The sequence below is a fragment of the Homo sapiens genome, chromosome 13, assembly GCF_000001405.40.
Source record: "Homo sapiens chromosome 13, GRCh38.p14 Primary Assembly".
NCBI lineage: Eukaryota > Metazoa > Chordata > Mammalia > Primates > Hominidae > Homo > Homo sapiens.
The window spans coordinates 65,856,622-65,880,926 of NC_000013.11; the positions used below are offsets into that span (position 1 = coordinate 65,856,622).

The 24,305-nt window shown below is 34.5% G+C and overlaps 2 long non-coding RNA genes across 2 annotated transcripts in view; one reads left to right on the plus strand and one right to left on the minus strand.

The window, feature by feature from the left end:
* Positions 1-9,330, minus strand: part of LOC105370241 (uncharacterized) — a 30,064-nt gene extending 20,734 nt beyond the window's left edge. Inside the window, exon 1 of the long non-coding RNA XR_942031.1 lies at positions 9,210-9,330. This is a non-coding gene — a long non-coding RNA (uncharacterized LOC105370241). The remainder of the gene's footprint in view (positions 1-9,209) is intronic.
* Positions 9,331-9,425: 95 nt separating this feature from the next.
* LINC01052 (long intergenic non-protein coding RNA 1052) lies at positions 9,426-21,598 on the plus strand. Its single transcript, NR_132362.1, has 3 exons — positions 9,426-9,622; positions 19,086-19,148; positions 21,236-21,598. It is a non-coding gene; the product is annotated as a long intergenic non-protein coding RNA 1052 (long non-coding RNA).
* The last annotated feature ends 2,707 nt before the right edge of the window (positions 21,599-24,305 follow it).

Sequence of the window (24,305 nt, forward strand, 5' to 3'; positions counted from 1 at the left end):
AGTGACTGCTGTATAGAGAATAACATCTGTCTGAAATAGCACTGAGCTTTGACCTTGGCAGTTTCTCTTTAGCTGCTTTGAGCATTTATTCAGAGTAGGCAGTGACTCATTGGATCTGCTACTACACTGGTCATGTTATATTAATTCCGAAGCCTTGGTGGGGCAGAGCCTCCATCTTTAATCTCTGTTTGTGTACAACAAACGTTCAGACTTATGTATAGTTAACCTTCAAAATAAACTCATTTTATGCTTTTAAACATTCATTTGGAAATAATAAAGATCTGATTATGAGACTGCTTTTCTTAATGTAGAGTAATGATAAGATAATCATATGTTGGACTACCTTATATGTGGCTCCTTTTTGGCTGGCGTTTGCAAAGTAATTTCAAAATTTTCTTCTCATGATGAGAAAAATAGGAATATTCCTTTTATTTCATTTTTCTGGGTCTATTAGAGTAGGAATTTTATTTACATATTCACATGCAACTTAACAAAAGGAATTTTTAATACTTTGTCAACAAACAAAACTAAAATCATATGGCATTCTCAAATATGATACTTAATAATTACCGTATATACATGTATACCACATACAATTAAATCCACCAATACCATTAGATTTGTTTAGACTAGTGATGATTTACAAAACAATAAAGCAATGACATGCAGAAATTATTTAACATATATTTTCTCTATTCTAACTATGATACGCACATACACACACATATATATGTGTATTCATCATATGTATATATATATATATTTATACATATATATAATGAAAAATGTTTTATTTGGACAACAGTTTTTGAAAAATGTGCCATATCCTCCATTAATATAAACTAGATTTTTAAAAATTTCACTGAAGGGGACACATAGAGAAATAAACATTTAAGCATTTTGACTAAATGCTGTCATTCTGATTATAAAATCCAAAAGCATATAGTTCATATGTCATTTTTCTTTTCTGAAACTATCAAAGACAAACACAGAAGGAAAACAAACTCTGTGTAATTGATTACATAAAACAGATTTTATTTTCAACAACAAAATTTACATCTGAAATTATATTAGAATTCCATCCTTCCAAAAAACTACCTATTCAATTTCATATCTGAAGTAAGTTTTTTAAATGGAATCTTAATTAATGTTAATTATTTTCTACAGTGAATTTGCCATTTTATTTAAGGTGCATTTAATCATGTATTTCTTTTGAGTATTGAGTGAGTAAAATTATATACTCTCTCTCCCACCTTTCACACATTTGTCTTTTGCAGCATTTCTCTTTTATTGTTGTTCATCAATTGAATTAATGAACTGTGAAATCAGTTATTATTCTGAGGGTATATAAATTATCATTTTTAAATCTATGCTTCCTTTAATCCGTATAAAACTGAGAAGCATTTTTCATACATCTTGAAAAAGGATTAAATAAACATCAACCTAAGAAATAGCAGCTGGTGAGTTAGTGTCAGTCACTAGCTGCACATGTGATTCCAGCTGAGACATTGCACTCTATGTGCAAGCTACAAGTAAATGGTATAGAAAGTACTCTGTCAGGGTGAATCTGTCCTCTGGGTCTTTACAGAGCATAATTAGTTTCATGTAAAATGAGTGGTTTTCAAGTTTATTATATATGAATTTAATATACCAAATAGATAGAATACAAGAAATGATAAGTGGGAAAATTTCAAAAGATTTATATTTCTCTAGTGAGCACAAAAATAGCCTATCCTGCATTCTTCTCAGTTGCCACAAGATGTGTAGTACTCTGACTTTTCCCACAAGTGAAGTGATTAACTGTCTTGTGAGGGGCATTTTACTCTTTCATTTTTTTTCTACTAAGGATAAAAAAGAAAAAAAAACATAAAAAGGATACATGACTGAGTTTGTAAAATTAAACTCTGTGCAAAAATGACACCTCCTCCATATAAAGTGTTTGAATTATACAAATCTCTGGACAATAATTTTGGAAAATTTCATAGGTGCCTTTCAGTTCACCTCTAGTTTATTTGTTATTGATAATATGAATACAACAGGAAAATGAATTCGATAAATTTCCTCTGCTTGTCTATGATCATATATTTATTTTAGGAAGCTTTTCTTTCTATAATGTATTAACAGGGACTTCTGTAACATTTTATCTTTAGCTTTCTCTTATTACATATTTGAAATAGTACATTATATTATTAGAAATACTATATTTCTTATATAATATTAGAAATAATTTTTTTCTTAGAAGTAGGGTTTTCCTATAATATTTTCCTTCTATTAAAAGCTTTACTTAATTAAACAAAAGATCTTTCTGACCAGAGACAGCTCCTTCTAGTCTATATGTTTGGTGGATCAGAGAAATGGCCACGTACATTCTCAGGGGCTATCTTTTTAAAAAGCCCTTCTCTAACTACCTGCTCTGACATTGTCTCCTCAGTTACTTCTTAGTATATCACTCTGTTTCATTCTCTGTCTAGGATTTACTATTATTTGGCACATTTTCTTCACTTACTTTTTCCCGATACATATATTTTTTTCAGGTTTTGCCCCCAACTACCATCATTTCCATACAAGATCAGTATCCTTGCCAAACTTGTTTATTTCTTTTTTCTTATACTAGAAGTATGCCTTGTACCACTAAGAATCAAGAAAAACACTCAAAAACTACCTTTACATATCAAGGACAAAAGGAAAATAAATGACATATGTGTTGAGCATCAGCTATGAGTCTGACAGTAAAGTAAAAAATGTGTGTGTGCAACTGGATCTTAAAATAAAGATTTCACTTAGGCACTTTCTAAAATGCTATGCTGACACAAGTTTCAAAAATTTTCAGATTACTATGCAAAAAGACAGTTAGAATAATGAGCAAGAAGATTGAAAGAGAGAAACAGCAAGGCAAATGAAGAGAACATGTAAACAATGCAGGAAGCAAGCATTGAGGAAATAAAGCTCATTTCTATCTTTGACTCCCCTCTGCTCCTGTCTACTGAACATTCTGTGAACATATTCTGTACATTCATCATTTCTAATGCAGCATTTCATTTCTTCACCCAAATGATCGCTGCTCCAATTTTTCCTACCTGAAATATCATTCGGAGTATTTAAGGCTTAACTCAGTTGCCATGGCTTCTCTAAGTAGTTTCTAATCCCACCAGCATATAACCCCAAAATATAGCATTTACTTCATTTTAGACCTTGGAAAATATTATTGAATTCATATCTGCTTCCTCTACTCAATTTTAAGGTCTTTCATTATAGGTAACTACTTTATTGATCTTAGCAACTCAGTGCAAGAGAGGACAACTTGTATGTAATTTCCTATAAATAATGAAATGTAATGTACTCAAGTGGAAATACTATGGACTTGGAAACCACAGAAAAGGGTTTTTGTCTGTCTGAGGGATTTTCCACACACCTCCCAGTCAGCAAGCCACACACTAGCTTTGCCACTTTTAATAAGACGCCTAAATTCCCTAAGCCTCCCTGTACGGCTTATAGATTTAGATGTCTAATGCCTCCCTCATAGAGTTTTTGTAGCAATTATATGAGGCAACATATATAAAAAACTAATGCATTCCATATATTACAACTGCTATTACTATTAATACTTTAACTGCGATTAATATTTTAATAATTGCTTTTTTAACGGAAATCAATTTAGTTAGAATGTTGAAAAAATATAGTCATATGTATCTGTGAGCTTCTTCCTTCCACAGTTCAGTGTGCTCATTTTTCATTGATGTATAACAAATTGCCACAAATTGAGCGGCTTAAAACAACATCCTTTCACATCTCAAAGTTCTGTATGTTGGAAGTTTTTGCAAGGCTTTGTGGTATTCTCTACTTTGTTTCCCAAACAGCTGCATCAAGGTTTCAGCCAAGATTGGGGGCTTATCCGAGGCTCAGGGTCCTCTTCCAGTTTTCTGATTGTTAAAAGAATTCAACTCCTCACAGCTGCAGAACTCATGGAGGCTGTGTATTCAAAGGCAGCAGGGAAGCATCTCTCTAATGTCTCACCTTTTTTTTAAAGTCTTACCTGGCTATGTTGACCCCATCCAAGATTATTTTCCTTTTGATTAACTCAAAATCAATTAATTAGTAGCTTTATGAAGGGAGAGATATCTCATCCATCAGTTAAGTCCATACTCAAGGGAAGGGGACTATACAAGATGCCCAGGGATGAAAATTTGGGAGGCCATTAGAGAATCTTGCCTATTACAGTCAAGTTAGTAATAGCAAGCTAGAAAATGCAATTTGTAGTTACATATATTAGCAGTGTACCTGTGTGTGTGGATGAACATGTGGTTATAGCAATTTCCTTGGAATATACCAAGTAAACTGTTCTAAAGATCTTAATGGAACTCTTGGGTGTAAATGAGTTGGATCTCTGGAACTGAGAATCAGAAACATGTAAAAGCATATTTTATTACATTCAAAATATATAGCTATAAGTAAAGCAAGCAGTATGTATAGGTGTCGTGTGTCCTTAGGATAAAAACAAACTAATGTTCTATTTTTAAATTAATGAGCAAAGAGGAATTTGGTTTAAAAAATATTTGACGTGGTAAGAAAAAGATGTTGAGTTTGGTTGAGAAGGCTTTTGGTCTTTGAGTGGTACCTAGATAGCACAAAAATGAAAATCAATAAAAAATAGTGTTTTAAGAGAATTAAATAGAGAAATGAAGGGGGGTGGAAGTAAAGGGAGAGAGAAAGGAAGACAAAGGTGAGAATTTGAAGACAAAAAGTACCCCACACCCTTCCCTCTACTTGAAATACATTTTCTGGTGACAGCAATAAAGATAAAAAGAGATGAAAAATAAACATGAAGAAAGTGACCTAAAACCAAAATGCTAAAATATATACAATTTATATAGAAAATTATTGAGAAAAGTATTCAAAAAGAAACTATACTTCATTATGATTTAAAAACCAAATTGAAGGCTCATACTTTTTTCAACCTAAAAGCTTACATCATGAAATTTTTGCAACATTATTTTTAAACTCTAGAAACATCACACCTTGCCCAACTACTGCCTACATACTCTAGAAGAAAACATGGGATTCTTACTAACAAATGACAGACATATTTGTTTTGCATTTTAATGTGATATGCAGAAATAGATTGGAAGCAAATATTGCATTTTTTGGTATCATTTCTCAGAAAAAAACCTTGAGGAAAAATTTTTTCATAATTAGTTTTGACTTTGTATTATACCAAATGCATTCATTTTGGGGGCATGTTTCCCAAAAATCTCTGAAGTAATGATGAAACTTTAAGTCCATATAAGTATTTGTTGGCATAATTCCACTCTGAACAGCAAGCACATATGACATGAGGGTTGCACTGTGCTGGGGCAGATATGAATGAAAAGACTAAGAATTAAATGGGAATTTAAAAAAATGCTTTTTCTTAATAAAAGGAAATGAAGCCTTTTCTGCAAATTTGCTTAGGGCTAGAGAATTTAAACTAATACCCCTGGGACATTAAATGGCAAATTAGTAGATTAATGAAGGATTATAAATATAAATATATATTTATTTTTACACATATACATATATGTATACATATATTTGTATACATTGTACACATATATTTGTATACATTGTATACATATATTTGTATACATTGTATACATATATTTGTATACATTGTATACATATATATGTACATTTATATATATAACCTCCATGTCATACATATTTGCCTTTCAGAGTGGAACCATGCCAACATATACATATATGAACTTAATTATTCATCATTACTTCAGAAATTTTTGGAAAACATGTCGCCAAAATGAATGCATTTAATATACTACAAATTCAAAACTAATTATAAAAAAAGTCCTCAAGGTTTTCTTCTGAGAAATGATACCAAATATGTAATATTTGCCTCATATACATATACAGATTATATATGATTATATATGATATATATACATACAGATTATACATGATATATATATTTACATGATAAAAAACTAGTTGTTGCAGGAAACCATATACATCTCTTTAGAGTACTTTAGACATTTACTTATCTTGAAAGAGAAGATAGAACTCCATTGTTAAAGATAAAGTTTCACTTTTCTTGGGATTTTATGGTGTTTATGTCCATAGATGCAAGAACATCTTTCTCTGGATGGAGATTTACTCAAAAGGAATATTTACAGAGAATGAATTAAGCTACCACTTTATTAACAGCTTTTACATACTCTGTATAACAACAAATTCAGAAAAAGTCTGACCGGAGCTCCTGAATTATGATCAAAAGTTGAATGGGACTCCTAATCAGCAAAATGTCCCCTATCTCTCAGCAGTATTTTGGGACACCTGTGATCAGACAACTAATGGCTACAGATAGCGTAATCTACAAAGAAGGCCCTGACTTGAATAGACCCACATGCCTGCAAAATTAGAAAAATGGGAGAAAGAAACTTAACCCTGAAAATCCAAACTGCCCAATGAATGAAGCTTTTCATAGGTCTGTTTTCTATATAGAGGCATGGAGCTCTAGAAAAAGAATAAATTCTTGACTTTAAAGGATTAAAAAAAATCCTTTTTAGTAAAATTTAGCTCAAGAAGCAGAGAAGGCTTTGCAAACAGTTTTAAGATATTGTACAAGATGCCCTGAGTTTGGTTGCATGACTCAGTATTTGCAATGATGCTAAAGGTATCTATATTAGACAGAGAAGCTATATAAGGTCTCTGGAAAGCTCCAATTTGAGGCTGCAACTCATGCTAGCGTACTGTAGCAAGGCCGTGTCTTCAGTCACAGATAATTATTCTTTGTGTTTAAAATAGTTCCTGCTGTGTGAATAAATTCCTGATCACGAAAAAGCAAGTGAGTATGTAATCAGACTATTGGCTGCAACCCTGCCCAACACCAGATATTGGGCAATGACTTGACTATCCCCATCATTATCTTGGTATTATAACATTACCAAATCATAAGGTAAGGTGGCCATAGAGGTAATCCATTGTGCAATTAAAATGATACTTTCTGGAACTGGCCAGAGAACATCTAGAGGGCACAAGTAAGTTACATAAGCAGGTAGCCCAGTACTGTTGAACAAAGTCTCTTTCTCAGCTCATATCTCTGGCCTTATGGCTGACAGAAGCTTAGTTCACAAATGGGTTGGCCTGATAAATTAATACAAGCTGAAAATGTAAAACCACGTCAAGACAGAACAATGAGGAGTTTATTTGTTTGCTAGTGCTTTTGTAAAAATGTACCATAGTCTGGGTGGTTTGAAACAGCAGAAATTTATTTTCTCACTGTTCTGGAAGCCAGATCTCTGAAATCAAGTAATCAGCAGGGCCATTCTCCCTCTGAAATCTGTAGAAAACAAGGGTTCCTTGCCTCATCCTGGCTTCTGGAGGCTGTCAGAAATCCTTGGCATGTCTTGTCTTACAGCTACATTGCTCCAATCTCTGCCTCTGTTGTCACATGGCGTTATACCTGTGTGTGTCTCCATATCCAACCCTTTCTTTCCTTTCTTTTATAAAGACACCAGTTACTGGATTAGGGTCACATTCACAGGTCCCAAGAGTTACAACTTCAGCATATATAGGTTGGTGCAAAAGTAATTGTGGTTTTTGTCATTGAAAGTAATTGAAAAAACTGCAATAACTTTTGCACCAAGCTAATAATTTGGGGAGACACAATTCAACACACAACAAGAAGTGACACTAAAGGCTGGTGTCAAGGGGAATCCTCATTGTGAGCAGACCTTGGAGGAGTAACTTGGTCACTCAATTGTCTAGCCAATTGGTGAGGGCCTTGAAAGGAATGAGATGAGGAATTTACAATCAAAGAGGCCTGGAGGAGCGGTACTCAGATTTATGCTGGTTAAGATTTTTGTGCCTCAAGGCTGGAAGCAGTGGCTTATGCCTGTAATCCTAACACTTTGGGAGGCCAAGGGGGGGCGGATCACCTGAGGTCACAAGTTCAAGACAAGCCTGGCCAACATGGCAAGACCCTGTCTCTACTAAAAACACAAAAATTAGCCAGACGTGGTGGCACATGCCTGTATTCCCAGCTATATGGGAGGCTGAGGCAGGAGAATTGCTCGAACCTAGGAGGCAGAGGTTGCAGTGAGCCGAGATTGCGCCACTGCACACTAGCCTAGGCATTAGAGCAAGACTCCATCTCAAAAAAAAAAAAAAAAGATTTTTGTGCCTCAGGTTAATGACCACTACAGTTTATACATCACACAGGACACATTCAAAAACCATATAGACTGGCAGGGTGCGGTGGCTCATGCCTGTAATCACAGCACTTTGGGAGGCTGAGGTGGGTGGATCACCTGAGGTCAGGAGTATGAGACCAGCCTGGCCAACATGGTGAAACCCCATCTCTACTAAAAATACAAAAATTAGCCAGATGTGGTGGCAAGCACCTGTAATCCCAGCTACTCGGGAGGCTGAGGCAGGAGAAGCACTTGAACTCAGGAGGCGGAGGTTGCAGTGAGCCGAGATCACGCCATTGCACTCCATCCTGGGGAACAAGAGCAAGATTTCATCTAAAAAAAAAAACAAAAAAAAAACACCATATAGACAGGATGGCCCATTAAGTGGGCATCAGCCATCTTATGTTCTTGACTACCAGTGTTTGTGGAAGAAGCCATGAATACAATAAGTGTGACAGTAGAAAGAAAAGCTATGCATGGGTCCAGTGGTTTAAGCTTCTTTTCGGAAAACAAGATCTATCTTCCACTCATGTTTGAAAGTCTGAAGTTTACAAAACAGATATCAATGCTGAGCCCGTGAAATGGTGCTAATGGCTCCAAGGAGACTAATTCAGTTGCTCATGAGAAGGTAATTATTTCCAGTCCTTGTATCCTGGAGGGAAGCATTTCATCCAAAACAGAATTAGCTCTTACTTTATTACTGATTTTCCTTCCCTGCCTATAGTTTTACTGACAACACCAACATCTAAGATTTATAACATGTGACAACATTTCAGTTTAAAAGATCCATTTTATATAAAAGACAGGGTGACAATGAGAACATGATTATGAGATCCACTGATTCTATCCCAGGTCATATTATCCAGAATTACCAGGCTAATGGTATAATGGGACGTCTTATTAAAGACTCAACTATGGTACCATGTCCAACACTCCTCAGGGTTGCAGTGTTGTCTGCAAGAATACAGTGTATGCATTGAAATGATTTCTTGAAATATGAAATTTGAATCAAATGGTAGAACATACAAGCTCATTGATGAAAGAAGAATGGCCTTTCTCACCACCACTGCCAGTCACCTGTGAGGAATTTATGCTTCCTTCCTCTGAAATCTTAGGCTCTGATGGATTAGATGTCTTGGTTTCTGAGGCATGAGAGGTGAGAACATTTGTAGTAGGGAACACAGTAGAACAGGGTTCTCTATTACATAATAGTGGCAGGGAGTATGTGTTGACATGGGAACATCCTCTTGGGCCTCTGGTCGTCTTCCATGCCTAGCATCATAGGGAAAAACAGCTGGAGCAATTGAAGTTAGGGTTAAGGATCTCAAGGGCTTGGACTTCTCAGAGATGAAGATCTGGATCACTCCATCAGGCAAGCAACGAAGACCAGATGAAATGCTGCTTGAAGGGCTGGCATATCTAGAATTGGTGGTAGAAATGTGAGTTGAAAAATATCACTAACAACCTGGGGGCTAGTTGGAGTAAAGATGATTGTAGCTTCTGTAGCTTATTTCGCTGACCGCTGCATATTACGTCATTTGTAGAGACCATGAAGACTAAGTAACTGAGAAGATTTAATGCAGGGTGCATATGGATTGAGTTCAGGGTGCGCTTTTCATCCCTTTATTACTAATATCCCAGCTGTCCATCCTCCATCCCTCCCCCATGATTTCCGCCAAGGACAAAGCAGGAAGGGCCCACAGAAAGTGCAACTCAAAAAGACAGGAATAAACACTCTGAAGAAGCAATTTTTGATCAATTGAAGTGAAAGCTAATGAATAAATTATTGGATTGGACAATCTTGAAAAGCATCCTATATGCTTCCTAGAAGCATCTGTTGCCCATAACAGTAAATTAAAAAATGCACGTTGGTATTGTTGTTTCCTTCCTCCCTGCCTCACTCTCCCTAGTTCTTCCCTTCTGCACCCTGGCATCCCTTCTCAAACTATTTGCACACAATGCCTCATCTCAAGTCTATGTTTGAGGAAATTCAAGCTAAGACAAGAAACTTTATCCTCCGCCCCCCACCTCATATTTAGTATTGTTTAAATCATTACAAGAGTAATATATTTGTTTCTAACAACTGATTTTTAAAAGTAGCAAACAACCAAAGCAGACCGTGTCCCATAGCATAGACTATTACACATAGATTAGCATGCTTTGGTTATTTTCAGCACTTTTTTCCCTTAAGGCCTCGATGTCAATTAATAAGACAAAGAGTTGCATATGTTTAATTTTAAAGTACTCAAGAAGGATCGATAAACTGTCTTTTTTAATACAATGGGGGGGTCACTTGAAAGATGAATATCTGTTATTGAGGAATACTTTGAAGTCGGTTCTCTGCTCTCTTTCATGAAAAGAGACAGCAAGAAAATCTGAGAAAGTAAGTAGGTTATCTAAGGTAACTCCAGAGGATTATGAACAATATCCTGCTTGTTACTTATAGAGATCTCTTCATTCATCCAAACCACTAATATTTTGATCATCTGCTAGGTTCCAGGAAGTTTTCTGGATGTTTAGAGTACAGCAGTGGATAAGATAAAGAGCCTCTGACTTCTTGCAACTTATATTCTGTTTGGTAAATTGAACAAAATAATAAGCGTGTATGTCATGTAATGATGCATGCTAAGAAGAAAATGATTAGAAAGGTAAAGGGAGATAAAAGGGATAAAAAAAGGGCTGAGGACTGGCATCTAGACAAGGGAATAAAAAAAGGCATTCTTAAGAAGATGACATTTCAACACCATCCTGAAGGAACTGAGGAAGTGAACCATCAACTATTTGGGGATGAGTTTTCAAGACAGAAAGAATAAAAAGGCAAAGGATCTGAGGCAGGAACACGCAGAGCACACAAGGAAAGAGTGCGGAGGCCAGGGCAGGGTGCAAAGGGGAGGTGGGAAAGAGAGGCCAGATTGCCGAGGGGCATGTAGGCCACTGTAAGAACTTTGCTTTTTTTTTTTAGAAAGATGGAAATGCCCATGAGTGTTTTATGTGCAGGGAAACCTCAATATAAAAAGAAGACGCAAATCAGAAGTTTGATGGGATCCTAATCAAGTAGTGTGGTAACAATAGGGTCTCAGGATTCCATTAACTTTCAAAGCACACAAAATTAATTGGAAATTTAAACATTAAGTAAAACTATTTAAACTCCACTTTAACTCTGTAGTAATGTGAACTCAGTTTTTAGGCCACTCTTTCTCTCTCTTCTACTCTCTCAATATCTGAGATTGTTGACTGCTGAAATATCACTAATTTTACTATAATCTGCTACCATAGAACATTTGCCAGACAAAGTTGTGATTGCCTGTCTCTAAGAGCTTCACAGACAGAATGCAGAAGCCATGGATAACGCTGAGCCTCAGACCTAAGGGATTGCCCTTGGTTAATTGAAAAGTTTATTTTTTTGTCTCTTTTTATAATGCTGTGTCATCTAGGGGTCCCCAGTCCAATGGCTTGTGTTCTGTTGCTTAGTTCCTCATGTCTACTGAACAGCTGCTAAATGTGGCAGCCTGGTGTCAGAGACCACAAGTCACGTTTCCAGCACACGTTCTCACATTACCATCATTATTTCACATTTTAAAAGGATATCAGCTAAAAATGAGGTGCCAATCTACAAAAGCCATTATAAAGCCCATTTATTTATATAGATAGAAGGATAAAAACATATAAAACTTGATGCTTACGCAACTTTTATTTTATATAAAAATAAAAAGTTACTTAACACCAGAATTATTTGTTGGCTGAAATATCTCAAAGGAGTACCCTGACATATATTTTATATTTATGACTTATATATTTCAAAGGAAACACATGTTTCTTTTTAGTTGACTAGCCTGAGGTTTATCATATACCTTATATACCTACGCCCTTGATTTTATTTTCTCAAATGAGCAGAGATTTGAAAATGGCTCTCATGAAATTCAATTACCATTTCTTAATGTGCCAGGGCTTCCAAAGAATATAATTATGCTGATTCCTCAGAGATTATCCCAATGATCAATGGAAAGTGTTTGCAGGGTAGAAAACATGTTGCCTAATCTACTCTCAAAAACAAATTTATCCACCAAAGGTGGTCTTTATAGTAAACCGATGAGCAATTTTATTTCTGCCACCCAGCGCCAAGAATTGCACTGGTTTCCCAACTTTGCGCTTCTGCCATATGAGAGCACAGCCAGGAGAGAGAGAAGAAATGGGTAAAAATGGCAGCTTGAAACTGTGTACACCAGCAGGTGTCTTGTCACAGCCTCTGTGCCATAGTATATCTGAGTTTCCTAAGCAACTATGCTCCCTAGGAAACTGGTTAAACTGCTTCTGTAGAAACTATTTACTGAGCAATTCCTCCTTCAAACCAGCTTTATGTAGAGAGTGCAAGAACGTGATGGGAGAATATTTTCCACTTCCTCAGTTCCATAGATCTTCTTGTGGAGTATTTTAGAACTATACCGAATAAACGTGAAACCATATTTGTCATGGTTTTTTATTAATTTTATGCTTATTTCATTGCATATAATACAGAGAAAGCAATGCTGTAGAATATCGTTCTTCATTTGGTAGTTTTGGAGAGCTAGAGAAATTTCCCAATTTGCTTATGGAACTAATTTGAGCTATTCCTCTCCCAAACAAGGCACATAAATGACATACACTGTAACTTGGGTTCCATAGAACATTGCACTGACCTGTCTTATAATGAGTTACATCTTATCATTACTAAATTGAGCCATATTTATGCACTACCATGAGAAACATGGAGTTACATTTTTAATACAGTGAAAAATGCATATATTAATTAAAATACGTACCTTTTTGTGATCTCCATGTTTTATTCACGTTTATGAAAGTTAATTCTTATTACTGCTTTCATTTATTAATCCAAGCTTTAAATATCCTGTACATTTCCCTGTTTTATTAACTTTAAGACAAGATTTGCAGTTTAGAAATAAAAATTGTCTAGGACCAAAATGTGTGTGAGTTGAAAAAAGATAGAAGAGAGTTATAAAAAAATCTTTATCTTTAAAGTTCTTGATTCACATTATGGTGGTTTTTTTTAATTTATTTTATTTATTTTTTTTTGAGATGGAGTTTCTCTCTGTCACCCAGGCTGGAGAGCAGTGGCACAATCTCGGCTCACTGCAAGCTCTGCCTCCCGGGTTCACGCCATTCTCCTGCCTCAACCTCCAAGTTGCTGGGACTACAAGCAACTTGTAGTTGCCTGCCACCACGCCCGGCTAATTTTCTGTATTTTTAGTAGAGAGGGGGTTTCACCATGCTAGCCAGGATGGTCTCGATCTCCTGACCTTAGGTGATCCGCCCGCCTCAGCCTCCCAAAGTGCTGGGATTACAGGCATGAGCCACCGCACCCGGCCTATGGTGCTTATTACAGTAGAAAATAATGCGTTTGTTTTCCCATCTATTTTATCCATTAGAATACAAGTCTCATAAGAGCAAGTAAAGTTTTCATTTTTAAACCCTAGCTCAGAGAATGGTCATGAATGTTTAGCAGATTAAAAAAAACTAGTACAAGATAGAGTGAACTGAACACCCCACAAAATACCTGGAAAAGCTAGATCTGCTCAGTTTTTCACAACAAAACATGTATTGCTTTTCTCTGCTTTATTTTCAAATTGCATATATTAATATGTTAAAGAAAGTAAACTTAAGTTCTTATTGCCCTAAATTAAGTACTATTCATAGACTATAATTGTCTGTTTCTCTTTCTATAGATATATATGCATGTATACTACACACACGCTTTTACTTATATAAAATAACGTGATATTACTTTTAAAATATACATATTTGTCTTGTTTTCTCGGCCTTATACCACTCCTGCTCTAAGCCTTTCATTTTTTATCACTGTAAAATTAGTTTAGTAGAAATTCTTATGTATTGTAAGTTTTAGCATTAGAAATACTAAGGCAAATTTTTTGACTCTTGATGCTGTTTACATCTCTTGCCATATTTTGGATACCTTTTACATATTCAAATATTTCCATATTTTCTTATATAATTTTCAACATTTCAGTATTTTTTTAATCCTCAATCTCTAGATTATAAAGTTAAGCTTTTATATTATATTTTCACATTTTTATTTGCTTTATTTTCTACATTTATGTCACTAGGGATGATAGAATTTATTTTTGTTCATAATGTAAAATCAAAGTTCAAATTTATTTCCTTCCAGAGTGAGCTGGATGGAGGCTTTCCCCATTCCAAAGTATACATAGAAAACAGAGCACTAATTAGCCAGAGAGGATCCCTTTAATCTTAGAAATCGGCTGTTACTCATTATTGAGTGTCCAGAGCACACCAACACCTAAATTACATAACAATATTTTTAATAATAATTTTTTTGTTAATCTTTTTAAAAGACTTCACATTTTCTTGCTTTATTGAATAATGTTGAGTTACATTTCTTGCTGAGGACTATTACTGCCTTCCTCTTACTCCTTGCAATAGACTTGAAGCTCTTTACCATTCCTACCTTAAATCATTCTCTTATTTTAATGTGGTGGAAATACAGGCTGACTTTCTTCTAGCTAACACTCCACAACCTTTATCAGTGTCTCCACCAAAAGAAATCCATATATTGAAATTCCACAAATGTGCATTTCCAAGCTCTGTTTCTTTTCTCTCTGTGCTCTCTTGATAGGTGGCTCTATTATGAGTTGAATTGTGTCTCACAGAAAAGAATGTTGAAGCCCTGACTCTCAGTACCTCAGAATGTGGCCTTATTTGGAAATAAAATCGTGTACCACATAACAACATTTTGGTCAATGACAGATCTCATATAGAACAGTGGTCCATTAAGATTATAATACCATGTTTTTACTGTATGTTTCCTATGTTTAGAGACACAAATACCATTGTGTTACAATTGCTTACAGAATTCAGCACAATAACATGCTGTACAAGTTTGTAGCCTGGGAGCAATAGGCTATACCATACAGCCTAGGTGTGCAGTAGACTATACCATCTATGTAAGTAGACTCTACATAGACGTTATAGTCTACTATACTGTAGAAGAGCCAATTCACTCTTCTACTTACTCACTACCATCTATCCACACTGCTCATCTTTCACATATTGGAGTATTTGATTCTGTTTGTTTATGCTGTTCTCTTGAGTGAATCATTCTCCCCCATACCCACAATCATTCTTTTTCATGGATGTCTTGTCATCATTATTCAAGTATTCAATTTAAGTGCTACTTTCTTAGAGAAGCCTTCTTTAACTACCCTATCTAATGCTGTTACTGTATACTGAACTTAACATGTTCACACAATGACAAAAATCACCTAATACTGTATTTCTAAGAATGTATCCCTATCACTAAATGAAACATCACTGTAGTGTCACTGCCGATGTTAATAATTAAGATGGGGTCATACTGGAGTAAGGTGGGCTCTTAATCCAATATTAGTGCTGTCCTCACAAGAAAAGGAAAGAGACACACACACATAGAGCAGAATGTCACATGAAGACACAGAAACACACAGACCATGTAAGAATGGAGGAATAAATTGTAGTTAAGCTACCACAAACCAAGGGACATCTAGTGCTACCAGAAGCTGGAAGAAAGACTTTCTACTTGAGGCTTCAGAGGAAGCACAGCCTTGCCAATTCCTTGAATTTGGACATGTAGCCTCCAAAGATGGGAGGGAATAAATTTCTGTTTCTTTAGAGTCCCCTAGTTTATAGTAATTTATTATGGCAGCCCAAGAAAGCTAACAGAGTAACATTTCCTTCCCAAGACTATATTCCAATTAAATGCATATCATCAATGTAAGTCTCCCTTTTAATGTATAGACAATCCAAGAAACAAAAAAACTATGTTAAAATTTGACATACTCAACAATAAATTTTTAATTTTCCCTGTTCAACTTGCCTCTCTCCCAACCAGGCATCCTCATTTTAGTGAATGGCTTTGCTGAGTTACACAAGCTACATACTGAAGAATTTACTCTTTCTTCTTAAAAAAACACCCATATCATTTATCACTAATCCTGCCAAAGTGCCTCTAAAATGGATCTTGCATTCTTCACAGTTTCCTCTCTGCTTTACTAGTCCTGGCCACCGATACCAACCTGGATGAGTTGAATAGGCCACTAATTAGTCTCTCCCTTTCATTCTTGCTCACTTTCCGTACAAAACTTATTGATATTTAAAATGAATATAAAATAGATCTTATAACTCCTTTTCCTAGCATTTCAGTTGTTCTCCATTGCACTTAGACTAGAATTCAAATGCTTTAATTTAGATTGCAAGACTTGCCTGATAGGGCCTATGCCTATTTCTGCAACTTCAAGTCATTTCACTCTTCTTCTTACAACCATCTATCCACACTGCTCATCTTTCACTTATTGGAGTATTTGATTCTGTTTGTTTATGTTGTCCTCTTGCGTGAATCATTCTCCCCCATACCCACATTCTTTTTTATGGATGTCTATTCATCATTATTCAAGTATCAATTTAAGTGCTACTTTCTTAGAGAAGCCTTTTTTACCCTATCTAATGCTGTTACTGTATTTGCTATTACTATTAATCTATTTCAAAATATTTGGCCATTGGCTCTGTCGTACTTACCATAATATTATATAATTTACAATGTACAAAATTGTAGAGTTTTTTGTATGCAAATTTGATAGCTGTCTGCCTCCCACTTTAGACTCTAAATTCTGTGAAGAACAGAGTCACAACTATTGCATTTGCCACTGTATCTTGCTTCTTAGTATAAGGCCTAGTAATAAAATAGCTATCATCAATGAAGAAGGAAAGGAAGGAAGGAAAGAAGGAAGGGAAAAGGCACTGAGGGAAAAAGGAAGGAAGGAATGACATAAACAAGAGATGATATCCTACAATGAAGTGGCTCTCATCTAACATGCTAAACAACTGGATAGAGAGACTCATCTATTATCAACTGTTCCTTGTCTCTGTTGACATGTGTCCAGCTATTGGAATCTATGGCATTGTTTTAAGTAGCCAAAGAGTGACTTTAGCTTCTAATGGTATACATTTATCTAGTGTTTCTATTTTCTCTAAATTTTAGATGGACAATTGTGTTTTTTAAACGTTAAGCTTAAAGAAAATGTGATTTCTTCTCCATCAAGATATTACTATCATTATCTGCATTCAGTCATGTATTTATAGACTGTGCATTATCATTTGATATTTATTCTAAGAAAAACACTAAGGTACATTCAAATATGTATTATATATTAAAACATTGTTTATATTTATTTATTTATTTTTATATTTTATTCATTTTTTTGAGACAGGGTCGTCCTCTGTTGACCTGGTTGGAGTGCAGTGGCATGATCACGGCTCACTGCAGCCTTGACCCCCTAAATGACATAATATCTCAGTTCAAACTGTAGATTTTGAAAAAGAAGGTATTCAGTTATTATTGAATGTGACTAAAGCAGGATGGAAGAAGTTATCTGATTTTTCAATAATATGATTGTCCAGTTAATTTTTTTCTAACTTTAAGGAATTCTGGAAATATTAAATATTCACATTACATAGTTTGAAGAGGAGTGATATAAATTGTTATCTCCAATTTTTTTCTCCTGCTTCAACTTACTGGTTCTATTTCTAAGATGCAAAACAAAGTAATGGAGGAAAGAAGAGCATACAAAGAAAATATTTTGGAAGTATTTCTTCAGGGTGCTTAGGCAGCTTTCACTTAGGAATGTTCAGAAAGTATATGCCATGCTCTCAGAACATCTCCATGAACTCAGGCAGCAGAAAGAAGCAACATGATGAGTTTCCAGTGTCAGTCATGAGCATTTACCAGAAAGCCTTAATAAACTGAAGAGCTTTGCAGTGCCTGCAAATCATATTTATAAGCCAATATGAACTTTCTCCAATAATATAAAGGAAAACCAAAGAAAATTGAAAGAGAAATTCAGTGGCCTAACTTGTGGAATCTGACCACATAATTATTAAAGACCATGGACACTGCATTTTTATGTTTTACTTTTTGGAAAAGACAGCTTGAGTTAATCCAATAGTCCCCCAAACTCTATTGAATGTGATTACAGCATAAGGTTTATATGAAATAGCTACTAGTGAAAGAACAAAAAATTTGAAAAGTGGATGAAACTAGGCCTACACTACTCTGTGATTTATTAGTGCTTCATTCCATTGAGGGTATAATTTTTCTGTCTACATTTAATAGTTTCTACTATTTTTCTATAATCAGAAAAAAATAACTAAAACTGCATATCTCACTGGTCCATATTGAATGCAGATTTAATGTTAGACAATGTCAATGAGTGGGAAAATGCAATTATTCTCATGGCAGCAACTCTTAATTTAGGTTATCTCCCAACAAGCTGTTGGCTATTTCAAAAAATTAAAATACTCAATCCAAAACCATCTTGAGATATGTATGGTAATGCTAGACTTTTTCTCATAGCCTTGTATTTAGAACTTAACATTTCTTAAAATTCTTGTTTCTTAGCAAATTGGCAGAGTTGCTGGCTTGAAGAAAATTGTTAAATTTCTGAAAAGACCATGTGTATTTTATTTTAATGTTCATCATATGTATCTTTTCCAGGAAAAGTAGTTAAAATTTGGCTTCTATATTCATATAGATGAAGGCAGCTTAGAGGCAATTTAGCTCATTCTTCTGTGTTAAGCAGTGACTATTTCCTCTGAGCAATATCAGTCTGATAAAAATCAATTCTGCTTTTCACAGACTTCTATAACAAGTTACTGCAAGAACCTTTTCATCGAATAACAGTGTGCAAATTTCTTCATTGTATTTAATTTTTTTTTCAGTTTATCTCACCATCATAAAGGCAGAAAGAAATTTCAGGGATAATTTATCCACCCCAGTGTTTTTATATAAAAAAGTAACTGAATCTTTTAGATAGCTTGTTGTCTCTTCTATTTTTAAAGATCTTTGCTTGAAAGTTTGCTCAAGAAACACCATGCATATTTGACATCATAAGGAAAGAAATGGTAAGAATTTTCAGACAAAGATTCTAAAGTTATAAAAGACTGGGCTACAACTGTTTTCTAAATTTGTAGTCTTGGATAAGTTATTTCAATTCTGATGCTATATTTTCTCATCTGTAAAATAACAATGATAGTACACCCTTATGTTTGTTAAAATAATTAATTGCTATAATTCAAGTAGAGTTCATATTTATTTATAATAGGAACATTGCTTTCCTGACAAAGGTTGTACTAAATTTAACTTTCTATAAAGGTAAAGTCAGTATTTCATATAGGTAAGCTGGGAATTCATTTATGAGATATGGTTTAGCAAAAAATACTATAAATTAAAGGTAAAAGTATGTTAAATTATAATTACCACATCATACTCCAATAAGGGTTATGATTAGTTTGATCCAGGTTAAAAACTATTTTTATGGAATATTAATCGAAATGCTCATTTCAGGCAAGCATCTTGTCTACAAAAAATTCTGACAATGACTTTTCAAACTTTATATAAAATTTCTAAGAATGAAGACACTGCTATCTTTATAAACACTAGTCTGTCTTCAAATAACTATAAAGAAGTTTATGCCAACATTTCATTGTAATTCCCTCCTGTAATTTCTACCCATTTGTGTCGATTATAATCCTTAGATATTAATCCCTCAATCTCATGATAGTTATTCTAATATTTAATGATATCAAGCTCCATTCTCTACTATTTTTCCCTTCAAATTAAATCTCCCTTCAGTCATTGTTTACCTCACATAATTAAAATTCAAGTTATCTCATAACCACATTAATCCTTGATAAATGTAATCTATTTAGTCCACCAAACACTTGAGTTAGCAGCTAGGAATTGTTCTTTCCTTCTTTGATCCCCTTCCCTTCCTTAAAGGCAAGGCTCTAGCCCTATGTATATATTATGTTCTATCTTGCAAGTTTTGATTATAAACCAATCTGCGTTCCTATATTCGCTAATGGCGGACATAAAGTATGATATGTCCTAAGGTAATTTACTTTCTAAGGAGAATCTTGATATGCAAAACACATTAAAGTACAAAGTAAACTCTAATGGTGGGGTGAAGTTTTATGATGTGATCATAATTTAGAAAGAGACTCAGTTCAGGGCTATATCAAATGACAACACAGAGAAAGTTCCTCATTCTAACTACTCACAAAGGGTCATATTCTTTTAAAGATATATTGAGACAGACTATCAAGATTTCTCTAATTATCCATAGGGATTTTGCTACAGATACCAAAGCCCATGGCCATTTTAGTCAGAGAATATTAGGACAGCATGGCATCTTTGTGATTATTTACCACTCTTTTTTTGTTTTGTTTTGTTTTGTGTTTGTTTTTGTTTTTGCTTTTGTTTTGAGACGGAGTCTTGCTCTGTCGCCCAGGCTGGAGTGCAGTGGCGCGATCTCGGCTCACTGCAAGCTCCGCCTCCCTTACCATTACAGTTGGCTGAAGTAATGCCCAGAAAACTTTAGAAATTTGTACAAGTTCATACACTTAGTTCACTCAGAAGATGTGCCTTACTTAAATCCAGGCATCCTGAGACTTAGGCCCATTTTAGTTCTATTAACTTCTTGTCGATACAAATAATCACTTATGGATGAGAAAGGATAATTTTATTTCAATTTATATTTAAAGAGATACATTAGTAGAACTTTATGTTTGCTATAGAGTATATAATTTGCTAATGATGATATTAGAATCATCTAAGTTGTCTTTGACACGTGTTTGTGCTCTTTTTGAGAGTTAATTTCTGTGCAATCACAAATTTAATTGGAATTTACAATTAATAGGTAGACTTCTGCCTTTGTGAGCCATTCAAATTCAATAGTGTCTAATGACTATTTGATTGTCATCATCAATACAATATGTATTGTCAAGCATATACCTATATCATGCAGTCATTTTAAAAATTAACACTAAATTTTATGCCAAAGGGTTAATCATTGAGAATTGAGAATAGTTGTTCAGGCAACTGTGATATGTGTTGTTTGATGTGTGAGTTGCTGTGATTAAAACAATGGCCTTCAGTTTGCAGTGCCATCAGCCTGGTACATGTCACTAATACTGAATTCATTTTTTAGAGCAGAACCATACATCCAACTTACATTGCAATTACTGCAGAGGAAGAGAGATGGAGAAGTTAAAATGAAACATTTCAAGGATGAATGGGCACTGAAAATTGGTAAAGTGGCAGAAAAGTCCAAGCTTGAAGAATGAAAAAGTAAATGTATGGAGAAAAAGGAGTTTGGAAAACAGGAAAAAAAAAGATATTTTGCAGAAACATCTGTTTGCTGTTGCTAAAAATTTTAGCATTTAAATGTTCTCATTTGGGCTCTGAAGTTAGCACTTCCTTGAAGTAGTTCACACCTTTGCTATTGCTCCTGTTCAGCTACAGATCATTTTATGCAAGGCTGATTTTAACAAGAAAATGGTGCATTAATTTACAATGTGTTGAGTGTTTTAAAAGTGGCAAAATCTAGGCTTTTGTAAAATTTTAGAATCTGGAAAAAATAGAAATACTTATATAAAGCTCTTCAAAATACCAGAATGGCTTTATGCACAAAAAATTACATGCTGATTAAGAAAATTAGAAAATTCGGTAATAAAAAAAGAAGTACATCTACCTCTAAGCCAATGGGTTTCCTATGACTCTCTAGAGTTTCTATTTAGTAGTGAGGCACATATAAACTTAGACACTATTGAAATATAATTTTTATTATAATCCCTCATAATTTTCTTCCTTCCCTACCTCTTCTCCCTCTTCTTTCTTCCACTGTCTTCTTATTTTTTATTTCTATTTATTTCTTTCCTTTCCTTTTTTTCTCCATTGCCTCATTTTCTTTTTTCTGTCTCTTTTTTTTGTGTGTGTTTCAAATGTTTATTTGTGTTTTCATTTAAAATATAAACTTGAAAGCAAAAAAAAAAAAAAATGCCTGTTCAGGGTTCTTTCTCATCTCCCTCATTGGAGTAACTAATGTTTTGGAGCTTCATATTTCTGAAATATCTTAATATTTCAGATGCAAATAAGATAAGTAATGGAGCATTTTGTGCATAATATATATACTTTTATATACTTTTTTGTAAATATCAAACTAATAGGCAAAATTGGCCTAAATTTATGAATGATGTTTCACTATTTAACACAATGAATTTCCCCCAATTAAAATTATAAATACAGTAATTCCTCACTTAACATTGTTGACAGATTCTTGAAAACTATAATAAAATCTATTTTACCATAAGCCAATTGGTATATATCAGAGTTAAGTTCTCATGTCATATCTGGGTCACAAAAAAATCATCAAACCCTAAAAAATGACCCAAAACACTTTTAATATTAAACATTGAAACTAATGTAAGGTATACATACATTTAAGAAAGATTAATAAAAACAAGTATAATAATTACTTACCCAGTTACTCCAGTTCAGGGTTGAGGGTCACCTAAGCCCATCTAGGCAGCTTGGGGTACATGGCAGGCACCAGCTCTGGACCAGATACTGACTCATCTTGGGGTGCACTCACACATACACCTACAGACACTCAGATGGGACAATCTAGACACACAAATTCACCCAATTTGTATACCTTGGGATGTAAGAGGAAACTGGAGTACCTGGAAAAACCCAGGTAGACATGGGGAGAATATGCACTCTATTCAGACAGTAGCCTCAGCCAAGAATTAATTATTTCCTCATCAATATCATAACAAAATGACACTGAATGTAATAATGTTATTTGAGTACCTGCTATATAAAGTTGGGGACTTCTATTGGCTAAATATTGAAGTTGAAAAAGGCTACTTTTCTGATACAATAATTACTCTCTCTTGTCAAAGTACCAAGGTAATTGAACACAAAAGAACATAAACACTATTTGGGTGCTGTTTGAGTCTGTTTTTGCCACTGTAATAGAACACCTGAGACTGGGTAATTCATAAAGAGCAGAAACGTATTTTTCATAGAGTGAAGGCTGAAAAGTCCAAGATCAAGGTGCTGGTAGGTTCTGTTGTCTGGTAAGGGCTGCTATCTGCTTCCCAGGAAGACAGAATGGTAAGCTAACTGAAGGTGGCCTGTAGCCTCTCTAATAAGGGCCTTTGAGACATCCACGAGGGAGAAGCCCTCCTGGTCTAATTACCGCTCAACATCTCACTTCTTAATGCAATCACATTGACAATATCTGAATTTTGAAACATATTCAAACCACAACAATTGCTTTATAGACTAAAATTATAATATGTAGTAGAGAAGGGATATTGTACTTGTTTTACACATTTGGGGCGGACACTAGACTCCAAAGTATATATGGCCAAGAAAAATAACTGAGACACAGATTTATTATTATTTTAATATTTGTAGGTGGGAAAATTAAGATAAGGAAAGGTATTAACGTACACTAAGAAAAACATTAGTAAGGATAGCAACAAATTTTTCAAATGACAAACTAAACTCATGAGTGATAATGGAAACAGTGAGTTATGTTACAAAGCAGATTATGTGCTGCTTTAAACCTAGGTTGCTTTAGCACTACCTGCCAGTCAAACCCTTATTCCCTGAGCCACTATCCAGACCAGAATAAGGAGCATCTAAGGACTATGCTCTGCCATATGGTCGATTTCCTAGAAAATTTAATTAGGAAATACAAATAATTATTTTCTGAATTTATGATAGTTCACTATAATTACAGAAAAGTCCTCAAAGGACATGAAGAGTTATTGTACATAAATTTAATTGATATAACTATAAAGATGGCTATAGATAGGAAGATAGAAGAGATAGAGATAGATAGATAGATAGATAGATAGATAGATAGATAGATAGATAGATAGATGAGTAGGAGAGTGGACTATTCATTTGTGGCAGGTATTTGCAGAAATTACACTATACTCAGCTCTAGCCTTTCTCATTTTTTAATAACATCCTAATACCTAATGGATTTACAAATCTACTGCATTCTTACACTGAGTAAAATTCTGTAAGTAAATAAACACAACTTTCACTAAACCAGTAATGTGATTTTTGCTGTAAAGCAAAAATACTGAAGACATGCTCTTACTTATACATGCCCAAATTGAAGGAATGCAAAGCTACAACAATCTAAGTATAAACAGTTGAGTGAGCCTCTGGGAATAGAGAAATAGAAGTAGAGTACC